Below are 22,373 nucleotides of genomic sequence, written 5' to 3'. Positions count from 1 at the left end.
TCTGTTAGGGCAGGCCTGGTGGTGACAAAATCCCTCAGCATTTGCTTGTCTGTAAAGTATTTTATTTCTCCTTCACTTATGAAGCTTAGTTTGGCTGGATATGACATTCTGGGTTGAAAATTCTTTTCCTTAAGAATGTTGAATATTGGCCCCCACTCTCTTCTGGCTTGTAGAGTTTCTGCCGAGAGATCCGCTGTTAGTCTGATGGGCTTCCCTTTGTGGGTAACCCGACCTTTCTCTCTGGCTGCCCTTAACATTTTTTCCTTCATTTCCACTTTGGTGAATCTGACAATTATGTGTCCTGGAGTTGCTCTTCTCGAGGAGTATCTTTGTGGTGTTCTCTGTATTTCCTGAATCTGAATGTTGGCCTGCCTATTTTTAAAGCACTGTGAAGTGAAAGTAGAAATGTCAATGAAAGTGAAATTAACAATAAGTAGCCACATACAATTTTTTTTTTGAGACAAAGAGTCTCACTCTGTTGCCCAGGCTGGGGTGCAATGGCATGATCTCGGCTCACTGCAACCTCCGCCTACCGGGTTTCAAGCAATTGTCCTGCCGCAGCCTCCTGAGTAGCTGGGACTATAGGCGCCCGCCACCACAACTGACTAATTTGTTTTTTGTTTTTTTTTTTTTTTAGTAGAGACAGGGTTTCACCATGTTAGCCAGGCTGGTCTCGAACTCCTGATCTCAAGTGATCCGCCTGCCTCAGCTTTCCAAAGTGCTGGGATTACAGGCGTGAGCCACCGTGCCTGGCCGCCACATACAAATTTTACTTAAGATCAATGTAAATAACTATTGGATTAATAAAAAAAAAATTCAAATTAAGAATATTTTACAAAGTCACAATAATTTAGAGGAAGTCTTGTGACTGGAGTCAAGGGACTTGAATTTATCTAACTGCTTCTACCATTACTAGCTTAATGTTACAGAAAAACATCAATTCTGGCCTTGTCCACTACTATGCACTAAAACAGAAGCTATTGTTTCAGAAAAGTGCTCAAAACATAAAAATGTCTTCAAATATTCATAAAGTAATCACATTCTAAAAATAATTATACCATATGTTATGCCAGAGAAGTTGGTGACATTCCAAATAAAATTAAATCCAGAATTTCTCATGGAAAAAAAAAGAGTAGTATGAACAGTTCTTGCCTTCTTCTCATCTTATTAATTGTGATATGGAGTAGACATTTTTTCCCGTGACTTGGCAAATTTTGTTTCTCAGTTTTGAGTGTTGATCAGCTTCCACAACTTTATTCTTTGTTCTTTCTGTGTCATGAATATCTCCAAGGAATCCTGTAGTGTAAAGTTTTTTGCAAGTGTCACTTTCACTGGGATATCTTAATCCTTTCCATCAAAACCGTTTTGCAATTTCCACTTCCAGCATTATTTCTTGTCATTTGTTTGCATGTTTCTGTCTTTGTTGGCCAATTACCTTTTTAAACTATCCAGTTCTTTGGTAAAATGTCATATGAGTAGTTCACTGGGAGACAAGGAGGAAACTCAGCTTCATTCTTTGCTGTTGATGCATGAAATAAATAATAGATACTCAGTGACCAAACATGATTAGATTTTAAAAGAAAAGTGACATGACTGGTCACTGATCCTGATGCTCATCTATTATTTAAATAGTGATTTGTGGAGCGACACAAACAGAATTTGAAAGAAGTGACATGACTGGCCACTGATCATGATTCTCATCTGTTATTTCAGTAGCGATTTGTGGACTGAAGAACCAGCAGCAATGTTTGGTCTTTATGTAGTTACTGACAGTTAGTTTACCATGGTAACTGAAATTTGACCCATACTGTGAAGGGACTAGTGTTATTTAACTAAATCACGGTGAATGACCTTAGTGCATATCAGAACTGTGCAAAGGGAGGACTGTATATAAAAATAGAGTTGACCTACTTTTAATATTGACCTGGTATACGGCAACCTAGGCACACTCACTCATTAGTTCTAGGAGGTTTTTCATAAATTCCCAGAAATTTTATACATAGCCACCATGTCAGTAAATAGGGACACTTTTTCATGACTTCATTTCCAATCTGTGTGCCTTTTAGTGCTTTCCTTTGCTTTATTGTACCGGTTGGGTCTTCCAAGGAGGTATTCAATAGGAATGCTGAGAGTGATTGTCTTTGCCGCAGTGCTATCATTTCAACATGTTGAACAATATAAACACATTAGTACTCTGTCTTCTTTTTTTACTGTCTTTGACCTGCAGTAACTTATCATTTCAACACGTAAACAATACAAATAAGTTATTAGTTAGTTATTCTACATTTTTTGTTTCTCACTAAGTCTTGAATATACCGTGTGCGTTTTACAGTTATCGTACATCACATTTTGGAGTAGCCAAATTTCTAGTGCTCAGTAGCCACATGTGGCTAGTGTTTACTATACTGAATAGTGCAACTCTAGGGGAGGAGCAGAGGGAGCAAATACATATGGAATGATGTGTACCATGAAGGAAATGTACATGGTACATTTAAAAACAGCATGGTGAAGTAAGGGAAGTAATGGGAGAGAAGTGGGGTAAGTAAGGAGAGGGAAGTAAGAGAAAAACCTCTCGGAGGACGTAACATCTAAGCTACGGCCTGAGTCTTGATGAGCTATCCAACAGCATAAAGAGGCCAATGTGGATTGAGCAGAGTATGCAAGGGGCAAAGCAAAAAAAAAAAAAAAAAAAAAAAAAAAAAAAATTCTGGGCCATAGATGGGCAAAATAACTTTCCCAAATCCCCTAAGAAAAGAGCGGGGAAACAGACAAAACATAGGAAGATCTGTACTGTGAGTGACTTGGTGTAGGGTCTTGTTTGCCTATTCATTCTTAGCACCGGGAACAGTACCTAGCTAATAACAGATCTTTGGTGAATCTGTGTGAAATAAGGGCAAACTGAACCCCAGGCTTCTGAGACCTAGGAAAGGAGATAGCAATATACTGATAAAGACACCAGTAGGTAGTGGGGATAGTTTGTTTCTTGTTGTTCTTGTTTTTCATTTTAATTGCCAATGGTTTGTCATAAGCAACCTAAGGCAATCATGAATACAGGAAGATTAAAGGACCTCAGTGAGTAATATTATTGGCTTCAGTAACCAGCACCTACTCCAGAAAAACATCCAGGAAAGGTTTCAACTGTCCTGACTTGCGTCAAGTACCCATAAGTGAACCGATCAGTGTGGACAGGGAAATGGTGTGCCACGACTGGGTCAGCCCATGTCACGTACCCAACACTGTGGTCAGTAACAAGAAGGAGGACGTAGAGGACAATGGGCAAGAGACCCACAAGACTTCGTAAAGTCTGCTGTTTCCTTCTTAGAGTTTTTCTTTTATGGAGGTCAGTTACATATCCAATCTTCCTAACACCAGTTTCCTGGAATAGCAGAATGGCACATTATGTGTCTTTACAAATTGGGCTTCAGGCAAGAACACTCAGTATTTTAGTGGCCACACATCAGTGATGAAACAACTCCTTGTCCTGTGAAGATCACTGAGAATGGGTGGTCTAGTTCATGTCGTTCTGTGGTACTGCCTGCAGCATCACCTTCAATGAGGCCTGCACTTTAGCAAGCTTGTATGTCCAAACTGCCATGTGATTGCCATTGTTCATAGCAATGGACAGGGACAGGATAAATCACATGCTTCAGCTCCATCAACGCTGTTAAGTGCTGCAGAAGACTCGTGAGCACAGGCATTGTAATGGGGTTGAAGACAAAGCTAGGGACACAGAGGTGGGAACAGTGGCTCAGGGCTGGGATGACAACAGAGAAAGTAGAATCAGTTATCAGGCAGTTGTCTATCTCCAGATGCTGCAGGGTCCCTGAGACCGTCTCCAGCAGAGCCTGGAATGGCTCAGAAACTTCCCAGGATATCTGATTGTTACTCAGACTCAACAGTCTTAGGTGGGTAACCTCAGAGCTCTGGGATAGGACAGTGATGTCTCTCTGGTAGAAAGTCCACAGAAAGACACATACAGTGTGTACAAATGAGATGGCAGGGCTCTGTAGAGAGAAAAAAGGAAGGCATTTCTGAAGAATGAGGGTTGGATTAGAGCAAGCAGCCCTGAATTATAGATACTTATGACTCTAGAATAAAGTAATCTGTATATCCATTGCAACAGCAGTTAACACTGTGGACTTTACAGTCAGACTTAATAGATTTGTGACCCTAAGAAAGTTACTTTTCCACGCTGAGATACAGTTTTTTAATCTTTCAAATGTGCACAATAGCAATTATTATAGAGGGTTGTGGGACAGATTAAGGGAAAAAGAATTTAACTTAGTGCCTACAGTATAATTAGCAGTGTATCTAGTTCAGTTATTTGATGGGGATGGGTCTGGGAAAGCAGCCGACTGAGAATTCCCTTTGACGAATTTCCAAATGACAGGTTCTCCATTCAGGTCCTAAGCCTCGGGAAAACTACAGGAACAAAACGATCTGGCGGTATTACCTATTGTGACCAGCCCATGGGGATGTGCATCAGTGCTACAGCGTCAGTTATTTCTCCGACTGAATGCCTCCCCTTCCTCTCTAGAAGGCTACACACTCCAATAAAAGCAGGACTGTTGTCTTTTTCGCCAATATGTCGACAGACTTATCTTAGTGTCTGCACGTCTGCACATGGTTGATTGACTGACTGACTGACTGACTGACTGGGCACAGCTGACTTTTCTAATCCTGTCTTTCTCCTCAGCATGAGGGACCACACTCTCTAGCTTGGCCAGTTTAAAACACCCAGCAGTGCCCGTGCTGATGTGGAAGGAGAAATAGGTTACAAAGTGTTTAAGAATATCTAAGAATAGTCGCACTCTTTTGTTCGTAATGGGGCATTCAGGGAACCCAGGTCCCTCCCCAACCTCTCACCCGGAAATTTTGTCCAGCTGATCTGTGAGGCAGAAGCAAGACAAGCTGAGTTCCTGGAGGTTGTTCATCCGCTCATGATGAGTGAAAAAAGTTGAGAAGTTTCTCCCCTTACAGGATTTTAAAAGGATTTTAGATAGACTAAGTCTGTCCTGGTGGATCTTCTGTGCCAAAAGGGTGCTGACTTCACTCAAACAAGCCTGACCTACTTCCAGGTGATCAGTGCATCCCAGATCCAGAAACTACAGGACGCTTTTGTGGGCAGACACTTGATGAATTTGCAAATCTCTGCAGCAGAGATGCAAGGACCCAAGGCTCTGCTCAACTTTACTCGAAAGGAAAGAAAAGAGTTGCCTTGTTCTCAAGGTACCATCAAGGGAAATGTCCACTAACAATCCCATGCGTTCCCTGGATGGGCCGAGACTCAGACTCTAAATGTACAATTTCCAGGCACCTAACACTTCGCTTGGCTTCTTCTATTTTCAGGATAGAGTGCTGAGAGTAAACGCAAGACTGAAAACAAAATGGGAATGTGCTCCTGATCTCAGAGCATGTGGTTCTGCTGTCTGGGTCCTGCTTTAAATCCAGGACCCTCCGTTTTGGCCGTCTGCAGGAAGAGGAAGAGACAGAATATGAAAGGTGGCTGATTTTAATATAACCCAGCAACATCAATGAGGGGAAGGAGGGGCAAACCCTTTATCTTTGCTCTTCACTCTGTAAACAATCTACCAACAAATATTTTTTTGTACAAACTCAACATCTTTTATTGTTTTTCCCATCCTTCCTTCTCCTCCGATCCTCCCCAGTCTGGTGTCCATGTTGTTCTTCTATGTAATCATACCCAGTAGGTGAATCCATCAATAGTACTCTCAATCACCTCTATTCCATAATCACCTCTGTAAGACATTAGAGTCCTTAAGGTGACCCCAAGTGTTGGACCAACAACCTCACAGAGATCCTCAGCATTCACCGTCAACCACCTTTGGGAGACTGTTAGGCCACCCCCTGCCTCAGGCTGCAGCATACCCTCCTGATGACTCACTATGTCTCTAGTGTACATAGGGTTACCGAGGGGAAGAGCTCTGGGCAGGGAGGATCTGCAGGACCATCAATCGTGGCTCCCAAGATTTCATAGTGTGACTCCCTTACACTCAACGGTCCAACATGGAGACAACGGGAGGGCCAAATCCTCACCATGGCCTTTAGTTTCATCTTCTGCCCACCCAAGAAGGCAGTGATGAACAATGGAACAAAGAGGTCTCATGGGAGCTCCTCAAGAGCATGGATAGCTGCAGGCTCATCACTCAGCAGACTCCATGCAGCGAGCTCTAGCAGTGTGGCTGGCACCTTTTGGTCCATTGACATGAACCTGCTTTAGGGTGAGGAACATTAACAAATCCTGAGAAGATTTTCACAGTCTCTTGCCTGCCACCAAAGATAGCAATAAATGAAATATGTATTGAACAAATATATGGTAAATCAAACGACCACTTCAAGAGACCTCTACTATAGACATGGAATACAAATAGACTTGTATGTGTGTATAAATGTCTGTGTTGGTGTGTGTGTGTGTGTGTGTGTGTGTGTGTGTGTGTGTGTGGTGTCTGTCTGTCTGTGTGTGTATACACACACATATGTATTTAGATAAGATAAAATGCCATTTGAAATCAGCTGTAAGTCAGCATAAGGCAATGTCGACCACCCAGGCACCTGCCTCCCAATGTTTCATGTCAAAAGGATATAAACCAATCAGAAAGGAAGATGTAAATCTATACAGAAGCCACATCCTCATCGTTACTTAGAAACAGATAATGCCAAATCTTTAGTAGTGAGTAAAAGGAGAAAAGGCATGAAATCCCAGCACAAGATCTGTCATGCTCTCATCACTAGTCTTTGTGGCAAGCAAAGACAGACCAAGAAAAGCTGCAAGAGACACAGAGAAAGGAAGAGGCAAGGGACTTAAAGTTGGTCCGAAACTACAGTTAAAATGACTGAGCCCAGACTAAGTCTAAAAAAATACCAAAAAGGTGTCCCAGATAATAAGAGCAGGGACTACAGGGAAGGACCTCTAAAATACGTGTAATTTAAAGGGGTAGAGATGATCTTAGAATGTAGTCTTTGGGTTGGGTGCAGTGGCTCATGCCTGTAATCCCATCACTTTGGGAGGCCCGAGGCAGGAGGACCACTGAGCCCAGGAGTTTCAGACCAGCCTAGGCAATATAGTGAGACCTCGTCTCTACGAAAACTTAAAACAGTGGCCAAGTGTGGTGGTGTGCGCCTGTGGTCCCAGCTACTCGGGAGGCTGAGGTGGGAGGATCGCTGGAGCCCAGGAGGCAGAAGTTGCAGTGAGCCGAGATCACACCCCTGCACTCCAGCCTGGGAGACAGAGCGAGACTCTATCTCAAATTAAAATAAAATAAAATAAAAGTAGCCTTTGAAATCCACAGCTTCTGGGTAAGAGTAAGGGCAAACAGAAAGGGAGAAGCATGCTTTGCCACTTTGGTAATGATGGGGAAAAGAAACAAAAGGGGAAAATGAAGAATCTTGCAAGACATAAGAGAACCACAGAATCAGAGCACTCATAACTTCTTTGTCCGCTACCAAAACAAGCAAACGAAATCAGTAAATTTCAGGCCTGAATTTTTCTACACTGACAGAAAATAGCACCTGTAAAATAGGAATCTGGTAAAACAATCCAATATCATAAAAATGAACAAAAGGAAGGATAATTCCTTACAAAAACATTCCAGAAAGAGAAAAAGAGCAGAAGACAAAATTTCACACATATTAAACAACCATGAAACAGAAGGAAACTGTACGTCAACCCTGCAAACAGAATTAATTCCATTCAAACAAGCATTTGAGGATATAAAACCTGCCTTGAATTAGAATATTACTTAAAACTCTAAACTCAGAAATGGGCTGAGAAAAACGTCTGAAGTACTGATTTGATATCCAGCTCAGCCGATCCTTCACTAATATCACAGCTTATAGAAAAACAGACAGGAACTTAGGAAATTATGTACCCATCAGCCCTTCCTGAGGACTCCACTAGAGCAAGGGTCTGCAAACTATGGCCCACTGGTTGGAATATTTACCATATGGCTCTTTACAGAAAACGTTTGCTAACTTATATTCTAAAGGGTAAACTGGGATTGTGATTCCACAGGTAACGACAGGAAAATCTTCCCTACAACATCTGATGGCAAGCATTTGGTATCTAATACTAAAATGAAGGTGAAGCAAGGAAAATGACTAACGTGCATTTATTTTATATTGTGGAAAAAAAGAAATAGTGCAAGTAAAATAAGAGAAGTGAGAGAGATAGAAAGAAAAAGAGAATAAACTTTTTTTTTTTCATAAGGCAGTAGATGAGTGTTAAAAGGAGACTGGGGGTTAAAAACAAACTAGTGGACCAGATAGTAAAATGTTCAATAAGAAAGCAGGTGCTAAAAGTAATTTTTTTAATGACAAAGTTTACATGCTAACATTAAAATTGAAAATTCACAGTGAATATATAATACTTAGGAATACTTATGCACCAAATAACATAGGAACCACCTTTGTAATGCCAAAAGGTATGGAGACATTGAAGCACAGTAATAATAGGAGATTTAATACATGGCAAGTCTCAGTACAAGGCAAATCCAGTGGTACAATAAAGAGACCTATACCGAAAATGTAAACAACACAATAAGATACATTGTGTGTGTGTATACACACATAGGCATACATACACACACATAAATCTACACCTTGGAGATAAAGAATATACCACCTTGTCAAAAGCTGATGGCACGTTAACAAAACGTGATCATAATTACCTCACAGTGAAGGCCTCGCTAATTTCCATAAAGTAGAAATATTACAACCAACCCTCTGCAATCACGATGCAACAAAAGTAGAACTTACTAACACAAACTGAAAGCACAAAGGCTCTTCTACCTGGAAAAAATGTTCAGTCTTCTATTAAGCAAATGTCGAGATAAAGACGAGATACCAACTGAAGTTACAGAAATATTTAAGAAGAGTGATTATAAGAGCTTACATATGAGACTCTGTAGAAGATAGTTAAAGCAGTGATTGGAAGCAGATTCAGAGCGCTAAATACTCTCATCAATGAAAATGAACGAATAAAATTAGACAAATTAAAGCACTGCCTCAAAAATCTAATAAAAGAACAACCCGGGAAACCAAAAGAAACACAAATAAAGAAATAACATAAAAGCAGAAATTGCCGGGCTTGGTGGCTCACACCTGTAATCCAACCACTTTGAGAGGCTGAGGCGGGAGGATCACTTGAGGCCAGGCGTTTGAGACCAGCCTGGGCAACATAAGGAGACCCTGCCTCTACAGTAATAATAATAATAATAATGATTCTTTAGCAGGGCGTGATGGAACATGCCTGTAGTCCTACTTACTGAGGAGGCGGAGGTGGGAAGATTGCTTGAGCCCAGGAGCTCAAGGCTGCAGTGAGCTGTGATCACAACGCTGCACTCCAGACTGAGTGATCCAGGGAGATTCGGTCATTAAAATGAATGAATGAATGAATGAATGAATGAATACATAAGCAGATGTTAATAAGATACATAGTAGAAAAACAATGTGTGTATATTTATTAAATCAAAATCCTGGTTTTTTTTTTAATGGACAAACTCACTAGGCAGATTAATGAAGGAAGAAAGGGAGAGAGCACAAATATACAAAATAATAAACGACAAATGATAATCATTTAAACAGAAAAAATTAGGTTGCTTTTCAAACCTGTGTATAAAGAAATTAAAAATACACATGAAATAAATAATTTCCTAGGAAAATACAGATTATCAAGATTTTTACTCTAATGCTGGAAGGCTTAACTTGGCCAATTTTTACAGAAAAAAATGGAAAAAGTTATTAAGGAATAACTCCCAAGAAGCACCTGGCTCAGATGCTATTACAGGTCAATTCTACTAAACCTTCAAAGATCAGATAGTACCAGAGTGCCAATGCTCTATAAATTATTCAACAGCATTATAAAGGAAATTTTCATAACTTCCTTTATGAAGCAAGTGTGACATGGATAGATAAGTGTAGATGCAAAAATGCTAGATAAAATATTAGCAAACAACATATTTAAAAAATCATAATATACTTTGGCAAAGTGGGATTTATCCCATCAATACAGATTGGCTCAATATTAGAAAGTACCTTGATATCATCCACCATATTAATATACTTAAAGACAAATATCATATGGTTATCACCACAGATGTTGAAAAAGCCTTTGGAAAAATTCAACACCTCTTTATGTTAAAAAATAGAAAAGCCTTAAGAAAATAGGCACCACAGGATGCTTTCTTAACATGATAAAACATATATACCTAAGTCCTAATGCTAGTAACTTATTTAATGGGGTGGGGGGGCACTCGAAGCTTTCCCTTGGGATCAGGAACAAGGAAAGCATGCCTACTACCTCACACCTATTCAATCTTGCATTACAAGTATTAGTCAACTGAGCAGAGAAATAGATCATTTTCCTAGGAATGAATAAGAAGAACTAAAAAGCACAGCAAAGGGAACAATCAACAAAATGAAATGGCAACTTACACATTGAGAGCAAATACTTGCAAAACATATGTATGAATAAGGGGTTAGCATCCAAATTTTGTAAGGAAATCATACAACTCCATAGCAGAAAAACAATCAAATTTAAACAACGGGCAAAGGACCTGAATAGACATTTCTCCAAAGAAGACATACACACTGACTAACAGGTGTATGAAAAAGTGCTCAACATCATTAATCATCAGGAAAATGCAGATAAAAGCTACTATGAGGCAACACCATACAACCATTAGGATAGCTATTATCAAAAAGCCAAGAGATGGCAAACATTGCCGAGTGTGTGGAGAAAAGGGAACCCTTGTACACTGTTGATGGGAATGTAGATAGGGACAATCATTATGGAAAACAGTATGGAGGTACCTAAAGAAATAGATTTTTTTTTTCTGTTTTAGTAAATAAAATGGTAGTTCTACATTTTTCTATTTTAGAAAAAAATATGGTAGTGAAAAAGAGAACTATCATATGACCCAGCAACTGCTTTTCTGGGTATCTACTTAAAGGAAATAAAATAACCACCTTTTGAAAGTAGCTGATCTTTGAAAAGTATCTGAACTCCCATGTTCACTGCAGCATTAATCACAATAGCCAAGATATGGAAACAACCTAGGTGTCCATCAAGGGACAGATGGATACAGAAAATGTGTTGTATGTATACACTTTAAAAAGGAGATCTTGCCATTTGCCAAAACATGGATGAATCTGGAGGACATTATGCTATAACAATGAAATAATAGTGAAATAATCCAGATACAGAAAGAGAAATATTGCATGATCTCACTTATATGTGGAATCTTAAAAAAATAAAAGTAAAACAAAACTCAAATATACAGAGATACAGAATAAAGCAGTGGTTATCAGGGTCGGGGTGGGGAGGAGGGGATGGGAGGAGGAAAGCGGGAGATGTAGGTCAGAGGATGCAAAGTAGCAGATATGTAGGATGAAAGAGACTAGAGATCTAGTGCACAACATGCTGGAATACAGTTTGTACAATTGTACTATTAAATATGATGCGGGATTTCTGCTAAATGAATAGATTTTAGCGCCTACTGCTACCAAAACCAAAAATGGGTCACTATGTGACATAATGGGTTATGTTAATTTGTTCCACTATAGTAACTATTTTACTATCCATACGTGTCCCATAACACCGTGTTGTATACCTTAGATATACACAATAAAACTTACTTTTTACAAAGAGAAGTAAAGCCATCTCTACATGCAGATGATATTATAGTATACCTGAAAAACCCTATAGAAACGATGATAAATCAACTGAACCAGTAAAAGAAGTCATTAAGGTAGCAAAATATAAAATTAACATACAAAAAATCAGCAGTCTTTTAATACACACACAAAAAATAAGCAGCTGGAGGATACATTCACAGACAAAGCCCCATATACACTAGCAACAAGGATTAAAGTTTAGGAATAAACTTGATAACAACATTTATACAAGAAAAATTTTTAAATATGCCTGAATGACACCACAGAAGACTTGAACAAATGGAAACACATACGCTATCTGAGATGGTCTGAATGTTTGTGTACCCCCAAAATTACTATCTTGAAATTTTTTATTTTTATTTTTATTTTATTTTATTTTATTATTATTACACTTCAAGTTTTAGGGTACATGTGCACAATGTGCAGGTTAGGAAATTTTACCCGCAAGGTGATGCCATTAGGAGGTGGGGCCTTTTGAGAGGCGACTAGGTCATAAGGGTGGAGCCCTTATGAATGGGATTAGTTCTCTCATAAAAGAGGCTTCAGAGAGCTGCCTTGTCCCTTCCACCATGTTGAGGATACAATTAGAAAGTACCATCGATGAGGAAGAGGGTCCTCACCAGACACCAAATCAGCCAGAATCTTTATCTTGGACTTGTCAGTCTCCAGAGCTGCGAGAAATAAATTTCTGTTGTTTATAAACTACCTAGTCTATGGTATTTTGTAATAGCAGCCCAAACAGACTACGTCACTGTCCTAGATGGAATAATCCAGCATTAAAAAGATGTCGGTTCTTCCTAAATTGGTGTATAAATTTAATTCAGTCGCAAAAACGCCAGCACACATTTTTATGCATTTAGGCAAATTGATAATAAAGTTAATATATTTGTGAAAACATGCAAGCATAGCCAGGAAACACGTGAAAAAGAAAATCTATGAGAGGGGACTTATGATATCAGCCAGAAAAGCACACTATAAAGCCTCTGTAATTACGACATTGTGGCACTGGTGCAAGAATAGACTAATAGCCCAGTGGACTAGAATAGAAAACTCAGAAATACAACCAAATCATATGACAGTTAGTACATGATAAAGATGGCACATAAACTCTTTAGGGCAAAGATGGACATTTAATAAATGGTCCTGGAACAACTGAGACGTCTGGAAAAATAAAGGTAGATCCATATAACACAGCATGCACAAGAATAAACTGCAAATGGGTTAGGGATCTAAACATAACAAATGAAACCATGTAAGTTCTTGAAGAAAACATGGCAGTGGCCGGGGGAGGGGGGTGGCTCACGCCTATAATCCCAGCACTTTGGGAGGCTGAAGCGGGTGGATCGCCTGAGGTCCGGAGTTTGAGACCAGCCTGGCCAAAATGGTGAAACCCCGTCTCTACTAAAAATACGAAAATGAGCCAGGCGAGGTGGCGGGCGGCTGTAATCCCAGCTACTCGAGAGGCTGAGACAGGAGAATTGCTTGAACCTGGGAGGCAGAGGTTGCAGTGAGCCGAGATCGCGCCACTGCACTCCAGCCTGGACGACAAAGCGAGACTCCATGTCAACCAAAGAAAAGAAAGAAAAAACAAAACAAAACAAAACAAAACATGGCAGAACCCCACTGTAGGGAAAAGCTTTCTAACTAGGATTCAAATTCCGGAGGCAATGAAAGAAAAAAATAATCAATCCATTTGACCACATAAGGATAAACGAAAGTGATGCAAATGCATCATAAATAAATCAAAAGGCAACTGACAAATTGATGTAAAGTACTTGCAGCACATATCGCAGACAACTGGATAATATTCCAAATATATAGAGAGCTCTTAAATATTGAGGGATGAAGGACCACAACAGCAATAGAAATATGGGGGAAAGATATGAACAGATAATTCCAACAAAAAGTATAAAAACAGTCCTCAAATATATGGTTAAGTGTCAAAACTTGCTCATAGTTAGACAAAGGTATATTACAGAAACAGCGAGACACCATTTCTCGCCTAACCCGTAGAAAAAAGTTTCAAAAGTAAGGCAACATGTTCTGTTAGTGAGGCTGTGGGGAAATTGTCATTCTCATATATTGCTAATGGAAATGAAAACCAGTACAATCCTTCTGGAGAGAAACTTGGAAACACCTAAGAAAACTACATGTGCACTTAACTTTTGGCCCAATAATCCTACTAGTGGGAATATACCTTGAAGGTACATTTCTACCAATACAAAAAAAAAAAAAAAAATCATGTCCAGGGTTATTCGCGGGAGTAATGTCTGTAACTGCAAAATCTTGGAAGGAATTTAAAAGCCCATACAGGCCAGGCACCATGGCTCATGCCTGTAATCTCAGCACTTTGGAGACCAAGGCGGGAGGATCACTGGAGGCCAGGAGATCCAGACCAGTCTGGGCAACATAGCGAGGCCCCATATCGACAAAAAATAAAATAAAAAATAAAAAGTCTTTAATTAGCCAGGCATGGTGGCACACACCTGTAGTCCTAGCCACTTGGGAGGCTGAGGCAGTTGTGAATTGCTTGAGCCCAGGAGTTTGAGGTTACCATGAGCTATGATTGTGCCACTGCACTTCAGTCAGCCTGGGTTATAGAGCGAGACCTGGTTTCTGTATTAAAAACAAAATGCCCAAACATAGGCGAGTGGTTGAATAAACTATGTGTGGCGCAGCCACACAATGGAGTACAATGCAGCTGTAAAAACGAACGATGAAGATCTCTGTGAAACAATATGGAGTGATTTCCAAGAATGCTGTTAAGTAGGAAAGGCAAAGTGCAAAGGAACATGTATAGTATGCTATCCTTCGTGTAAGAAAGGAATATGAGAAAACATGTATGTATCTGCTCATTTGGGCAAAATAAATACAGGAAAGGTTAAACCAGAAACCAAAGGGGCTGATTACCCTACAGGGAGGGCCAGGGAAAGAAGTGGAAAGAAATGGGGAATGGGAACAGGGTAGAAGGGATGACGAAGGAGTGACATTTCTCCGAGTATAGGTTTTTGTATAACCCTGACTCTTTGGATCATAGTAATGATGCACATACCCAAAATATAAATAAAAAATTAAAATCAACCGGGATATTGGGGTGAGGGTACCCCAAATCAAACAGAAACAGGTTCAACTAACAATATTACAAATGAGTGTCTTAACCACGCTGAAGGAGAGAGGAAGAAAAGATCTAAGATACATAACTTTGGAGAGCAGTATTTTGACTATATCCTCTAAGGCCAAAGACAAAAACAACTGTACAAAAATATAAGTTATTAACATGTTTGCAACAGGGGCATTTGTTAGCAATTCAGGCGCTACTTTATGTATCTACTGACCAGAAATAAACAGGTATGTAAACTATTTGATAATGAAAGCCAGGTCGGAGAACGAATCTACAAATAAGTCTAGAATGATTGGAATTGAAAGTATCAATACAAGCTCCTGGCTTTTAATAGCTATGCATACAGATAGATACCAAAATAAATGTGGATGTGTCTATAGGCATGGGTGTATACATACATTATTTCCTAACCCTCTCCATAGAGAGAGCCTTAGCAGCAATGAAACGCCATTAATAATGAACACACACCGAGATACTGGTTGGTAAATATCATTCCCCAAGAAAGGGAACCGGGGCTCCTCGTAGAAGTTGTTTTAATCCAGGGCTATAAGGGGTGTGTGTGTGTGAGGGGAGGGGGGCACACACATGCTGAATCTGAACATCTTATTGTGCCAGAAAAAGGTACCAAAAAAGGATAGGGTCATATCAAAAGACCACAGAACCAACCAAAATGACTTCCCAATGGCCAAGGCTAGAACAGTTCAAAGAACAAAATAATGATATAATTAGATTAAATTTTTATTTTATTTTATTGCAAGTTCCAGGATACATGCGCAGGATGTGCAGGTTCATTACATAGGTAAACCTGCGCCCTGGTGGTTTGCTGCACCCATCAACCCATCACCTAGGTATTAAGCCTGGCATGTATAACATAATTATTCAAGAGCCCATACTGAGATAAATAAATTGAAGAAATAAATGAATGAGGGAGTAAAGATAGCTCTTCCTTACAGAGGAATTCCAATTAATAAATGTAGCAGAAATTAGGAAAACAGAAAATCACCATTAGGTAATATTTGCTGTAGGCAAGATCCCTAGACAGATTTTAACAGTAGTGGGTCAAAGTCTGCGAAGAAACAGGAATATAAGAGGATCTATTGTGTTTCTTCTTAAAGAACTTTTCACACTATATTTATTACTAACAAAGAGGAAAATAGTAGCATTACACTGGGGCAGCATAACTCCCACCACTTTAACCAAGTGATCAAGGTGAGCACCACCAGTAATACAACTTATGGATGTCATGTACCCCTGACATGATCCACATAGAAGGGAACGAAATCACGTTTGCGGTAATGTCGCATAAGACCTAAAATTAGAGGTCCAATTATATGGATGCCTTGACATCTGGGGTAGAACAGGAGGACCCTGAATGGCCTCACCACAAGTTATCTTCCCTATTGGGTTCCCAGGGAGAAAGGCCCCCTGGCCAAAGTACCCTCCTTATTATCATGTTGAACAGACACAGTGCCTGCTTATCTCTGGGTAGCATGTTTCAGGTCCCCACCAGCCTGCAGAATTATTCAAACAAGCCAATCGTCCTACCCTGAACCAACGGTCACTTCATCCTCTGGTTACTACAAAGACTTCCCCCTGAAAGCCCCTGCTTGTTCACTCTCTTCCAGAGTGTGACACTGTGTGGCTCTACCTGGCGTGAGGTGCCCTCCTCTCTCCAGTTGTGAGTAAATGTTACTGATAAATTGCTGTGGATTCCGTCTGTCCAGTATAGGGTACCATGTGTTCAGCCGCCCCCATAACACTAGGGTGGGAATCCCTCCCTCGCCACTGGGAAAGGGAGGAGAATAAAACAGGTGTGCTTGCTACAAATGCACAACTTCAATCTAATCATAAGAAAACATGAGACAAACACAAATTGAGAGACATTCCACAAAATACCTGACTGGTATCTCCAAAAGTGTCAGGGCTGTGGAAGACCAATAAAGATTGAGGAAATGTCAGCCTGGAGGAGACTAAGGAGAAATGAAGACCAAATGCAATGAAGCGTCCTGGATAAGATCCTAGAATAGAAAAAGGACATCAGTGAGATATCTGGTGAAATTCACATAAAATCTGTAGATTAGTTAATAGTACTACATCAATGCTAACTGTTGGTAATTAACATCGATGTAGTAATGTCAATTAGTGCATCAATGTAATGTAGTAGTTAGTTTTGGTAATTTTTCTATGGTTATATAAGATGTTAACATTAAGGAAATCCAGGCGAGGGCTCTCTGTATAATCATTTTTGTAACTTTTCTGTAAGTCTAAAATTATTTCAGAGTAAAGAATTTTAAAAGACAAAATCAGTGGCTAAAGGGCTGGCAACCTATAAACCACACTGCTTAACAATAACCAATTGAAACATAGTTAGAAGGATGCATACAAAGAGGGATACATGCTCATACCACATGATTCATTAAAAAGATTATAAGAGATGAAAGCCCAGTCATCTTCAACACACAGGTGAATATGTATTTACTCTTCAGATGAGGAAAGCATTTTTAAGCATAAAAGGAATGAAATACAATAGAAAGAAAAATATCTATACAATCCAATATTTACAATTTAAAGCCCGCCATATCAAAATTAACCATAAACAAAACTAAGATGCAAAAGAGAAATATAACTTTCTGAAGAAGAAGAGAAAACCTGCCTGAGAAATTGCAAAGAGAGAACATGAAGTGATTAGCCATACAATTGAACCTAATCACACGTGAAGATAAGGGATACATAGAGAGTGGACTGGAGAGTGGACCACTGAGCAATCCAGCCGGATTTGCCTTTCCTATGAATCCCTAAACCTTGACCCTAGGTAATGTAGGCCAAAAAAGGCCTAGTTTATATAAAATTTATAGAAGGGCCGGGCACGGACGCTCACGCCTGTAATCCCAGCACTTTGGAAGGCCGAGGCGGTGGATCCCCTGAGGTCGGGAGTTGGAGACCAGCCTAACCAATATGGAGAAACCCCCTCTCTACTAAAAATACAAAAATTAGCCTGGCATGATGGCGCATGCCTGTAATCCCAGGTACTTGGGAGTGAGGCAGGAGAATCGCTTGAACCCGGGAGGTGGGGGTTGTGGTGAGCCGAGATCGCGACATTACGCCCCAGCCTGGGCAACAAGAGCCAAACTCCGTCTCAAAAAAAAAAAAAAAAAAAAAAAAAAGGCAAAAAAGAAAAGAAAGGAAATTTATGGAAAAGATATTGTTGTAATTTACCTAATTGGAAGAAGACTTGGAACCAACCTGGGAGCTACACTTCCCCTCAGAATCTTGCCACAAACAAGACGCAATCTTGTGGGTGGGGCCCAGCGTCTTAACGGTTCCTTCTCAAAGCAGTGGGGAGAGGACTTCAATTGGCTCAGCTTGGTCAGGTGACCTCCTTTGACCAATCATCTCCATACTGGGAGGCGGAGCCAGATTCCTGCCCCTCCCCCTCCTGGGGCTCGGGGGACGGGGGGCAGGGAAGGAGAAGGGGTTTCGAGAAACCAAGGGTGGGAGAGCGGGAGGGGCAGGAAGGATTGTGGGACAGGCGGGTGGGAGTGTGTGAGGTGGAAAGGGAGGGGTGTTCTGATTATAAGCCTGCCCCACCCGCTGATTTCGTCTTAGGTGAAAAGTGAGGCACAATGCCATTGTGTATGGCCTGGGCACTGGCCAGCCAGGGTTTCTTTGCTTTCTTTCTTTCTTTTTTTTTCTTTTCTTTTCTTTTCTTTTTTTTTTTTTTTTTTTTTTTTTTTTGAGACGGCGTCTCGCTCTGTTGCCCAGGCTGGAGTGCACTGGCGGGATCCCATCTCATGCAACCTCTGCCTCCCGGGTTCAAGCAATTCTCCTACCTCAGCCTCCCGAGTAGCTGGCATTACAGGCACCTGCCACCACGCCCGGCTGGTTTTTCTATTTTCAGTGGAGACGGGGTTTTACCATGTTAGCCAGGATGGTGTCCCTCTCTTGACCTCGTAATCCGCCCGACTCGGCCTCACAAAGTGCTGGGATTACAGGCGTGAGCCACCGCGCCTGGCCCCAGCGAGGGTTTCTACCAGGCCACGTCTCAACACAGACAGTTAAAAGCTCAAATTTAGTGGACGTGTAGCAGGGGATGCTTACTTAAAAAACGCATGGCCACTTGATGGCAAAAGGCTGTCAGATATTAGTGTCTCTGGTTCTCTGATATATTAAAGAAGGAACTGAGTCCTGACCAAAGATAGGAAAAATGTGTTGTCCTCTGCAGTGAAGCCAACAGAGCATTTACACTGATGCCTGGCAAAGGCGGCACAAAGGAGAAGACTTCCACCCATCTAATAATACTATCAATTGCAAAGCAGCCAATATTTGTTTGAATGTCCAACCCTCAGCCCACACTCCTGATTCCACTTCTTCCCTATTTGATTTTTCCCCCCCGCAGTCATCTTCTGGAATGCAATATATTTTAATCATATGCTGTTTTTGTTTTTTATTGTCTGTCTCCCATGGTGGAAAAATAAAAATTCCAGAAGGGCAAATATCTTTGTCTATTGCTCATTAATGTACCCTAAGTGCCTATAACAATGCCTGCTTCAGTGGATACTTTGAATGAATAAATGGATTTTTCTCCAGCCACACTAGCCTCCTTTTTGTTGCTCTAACACTAGCTCAGCAAGCATACTCCCATACCGTTGAGTGTTTTTCTGTAACAGCCTGGCTTTAGATATCCCTATAGCTACCTTCCTTACTTAGTGTACATCTCTGATCACCTTATCAGACATGTGGTACTTTTCTTCATGACAGTTAGCATGTCACTGTGTTGTTTTTGTTTTCTTTTGTTGTTTTCTTTTACTCTAATTACAGGTAAAGAAGCAGATCAGCTATGTCTGTTTTAATTTTTGCAGTACAGTGTCATCTTTCAGTAGATGGGGTAATGGGCATCAGGTATCTTAGGATTGAATCCGTGGCATTACCACTTTGTAGCTAAATAACCTTGGCCAGGTAAACTCTTCCAAGCTTTTATTATCCATCTTTAAACTGGGAATAGTAAAAAATTTAACCTCATAAGGCTGTGATGACATTTCATTAAGATAGTCCATATTCAGTCATGCACCACATAATGACTTTTTGTTCAATGATAGACCACATATATGATGGTGGTCCCATCATATCATAAGGTGATAAGTGCAGATTCCTGTTCTGATACCATCCTAGCAAACTAGATTGCTGGTTCACCTTGCCTCTTCACAGATGGCTGGGGGTGGGAGCTGAACTTCTACCCTAGCCCCCCTGAGAACATTTCCAATAAAAAAGGGGGCACCAATTCACCACACTTTGTTACCTCAGAGGTGGGGTCGGGGAGTATAGGCACAGTTCTTTGCTAGGCTTTAGGGAAAGGGGAACTGGATGGCTGACTCAAAGTTTTGTTGCTGCAGTGTGGTGGGGCAGAAGCCTAGGTCCCCACTGGTCTCTGAGAACATCAGGGGAAGGAGGGGGAAAGGAGACTGCCAACAAACCCTGCCTCCCACCACCTGATTCCATCTTGATGATGGGTGGATGAGGAGGCACAGCTCTCCATAGGGCCTAGCTTGCACAGAATGCCTGAGCGGGAAAGCAGAGTGTCGATTAGCCCCGCCTCACACCACTTCATTGAGTTTGGATGAGTGTAAAGGTTCAACTTTCCACTGGGCATCACTGACACCAGAGATGGGGATAAATGGAATGCTTACTAGTCCCAACTTGGACTGCCTTGTTCAGTGTTATTGATGTCAGGTGAAGGTGAAGGCTCATCTTGCTGCTGGACACCACTGACACTACCCTGACAGGTGAATTGGATCATCACCATCTGCCTCAGAGAGGCAGGATAGAAGACAAGTTTCCTTCTTGTTCCCTGAAACCTTGGGGGGTGGGGGAGATAAGGTTTTTCCATTGTTGTTTGTCTAGTGTAGGGGAGGGGAATTTGTCACAAAGGTTTTTCAGTTTTTAGATCACGTTTTTTATGGTCTTTTGGCAGAGGAAATAGGCTTTTCTTGGAGCTTTGTGTCTGCCATTGTTGGTGGTTCTGGACTGGGGGCTTCTGCGGTGCCCTGTCTGGGATATTGGGTGGAAATAGAAAAACCAAGGGAATGCGCTGCCTGTGTTCTTGCTCGAGTCCTGAGAGCACGAGTCGGTCTGCTTTCCCCTTTCCACGTTTCAGAGCTTTCTTTGCTGGTTTGCTGTTATATTCAGGGTGTTCTGATGTAGAGGGACCATCTGGGAGGAAAGGGCAAACTCCAGCTTGGCCAGAACTGGAGGTCTCTAGGATGTTTATTTTTGAGAATTTTATTTTGACATCTCTTGTGGGCCTACCAAGATCTGACCATCTCGTGATCATCTACTGGTTGCAGAGCAAGCAGTTCCTCGATTAGTAGGTGTAATCATAAACTTGCCTTTGTGATCTTTTTCTTCTTCCTGAACTTCCTGATTTCTGAACTCCTATGACTCATGATGCATTCTCAATAAAATCTGCCATATTAAATTCATTTTCCAAGCTTTCGTGTTTCCAAGTATGCCTATTTAACTCTCTGAGACATATTTATTTATTTTTTAATATTTGTTTCTCTCAGCAGTGACCAAACACTAGTTGCAAACTGGTAAGTTTTCCTTACACAAGACTTTTTTACAAGTCAGAGTCTGAAAGGTCTGGCCTGACTTGCCGATGGAATCTATATGAATGAAAAGGCCATCTCTATGGAAGATACTGGTAAACTTTTTTGTCAGCTTAGAGCCTGTTGCCCTGGCTTTGCTCACAAGGTTTGACACTGAAAGACTGTGAAACCTTCTGAATGTGAAATAGTGTATTGGAAATGTTTCTTGTTTAATTAATTCCATAGGTTGGGGGTCATGACATTCTAAAGTAAATAAGAAAGGAGACTATTTTCTGAAGAATAGAAAAGGCGCATATTAAAATCATTACACTGACCAAGTATCCACTCTCAGGCATCTTCTTACAGTGACTTCTTAATACAGGCCAATATCTCTGATGAATATCGATGCAAAAATCCTCCACTAAATACTAGCAAACCCAACTCAACAATACATCAGAAAGATCGTTCATCATGACCAAGTGGGATTTATCCCTGGGATGCGAGGATGGTTCAACATATGCAACTCAATCAATGTGACACATCACATCAACAGAATGAAAGATAAAAACCATATGATTATTTCAACTGATGCTGAAAAAGCATTTGATAAAAATCCAACATTCCTTCCTGATAAAATTCCTCAACAAACTGGGTATGGAAGGAACATACCTCAACATAATAAAAGTCATATACAACAGACTGACAGCTAGTATCATACTGAATGGGGAAAAAGTGAAAGCCTTTCCTCTAAGATCTGGAACATGACAAGGATGCCCACATTCACCACTGTTATTCAACATAGTACGGGAAGTCTTTGCTCAAGCAATCAGGTAAGAGAAAGAAGTAAAGAGCATCCACACTGGAAAGGAAGAAGCCAAATTACCTTTGTTTGCTGATGATACGATCTTATATTTAGAAAAACCTTAAGACTCCACCAGAAAACTATTAGAACTGATCAACCAATTTAGTAAAGTTGC

The 22,373-nt window shown here is 40.7% G+C and overlaps 1 protein-coding gene and 1 pseudogene across 1 annotated transcript in view; both read right to left on the bottom strand.

The window, feature by feature from the left end:
* NXF2 (nuclear RNA export factor 2) overlaps positions 1 to 18,103 on the bottom strand; it is a 79,556-nt gene extending 61,453 nt beyond the window's left edge. Inside the window, exons 1-2 of the mRNA NM_022053.4 lie at positions 18,032 to 18,103; positions 16,712 to 16,833 (exon numbers count right to left, since the gene is read on the bottom strand). The gene's annotated coding sequence lies outside the window, so the exon portion shown is untranslated. The remainder of the gene's footprint in view (positions 1 to 16,711; positions 16,834 to 18,031) is intronic.
* LOC100499471 (leucine rich repeat containing 14 pseudogene) lies at positions 3,578 to 6,227 on the bottom strand (annotated as a pseudogene).
* Positions 18,104 to 22,373: the final 4,270 nt, after the last annotated feature.

Source organism: Homo sapiens, chromosome X (genome assembly GCF_000001405.40).
Source record: "Homo sapiens chromosome X, GRCh38.p14 Primary Assembly".
NCBI classification, from domain to species: domain Eukaryota; kingdom Metazoa; phylum Chordata; class Mammalia; order Primates; family Hominidae; genus Homo; species Homo sapiens.
This window is presented reverse-complemented; position numbering and strand designations above follow the sequence as displayed.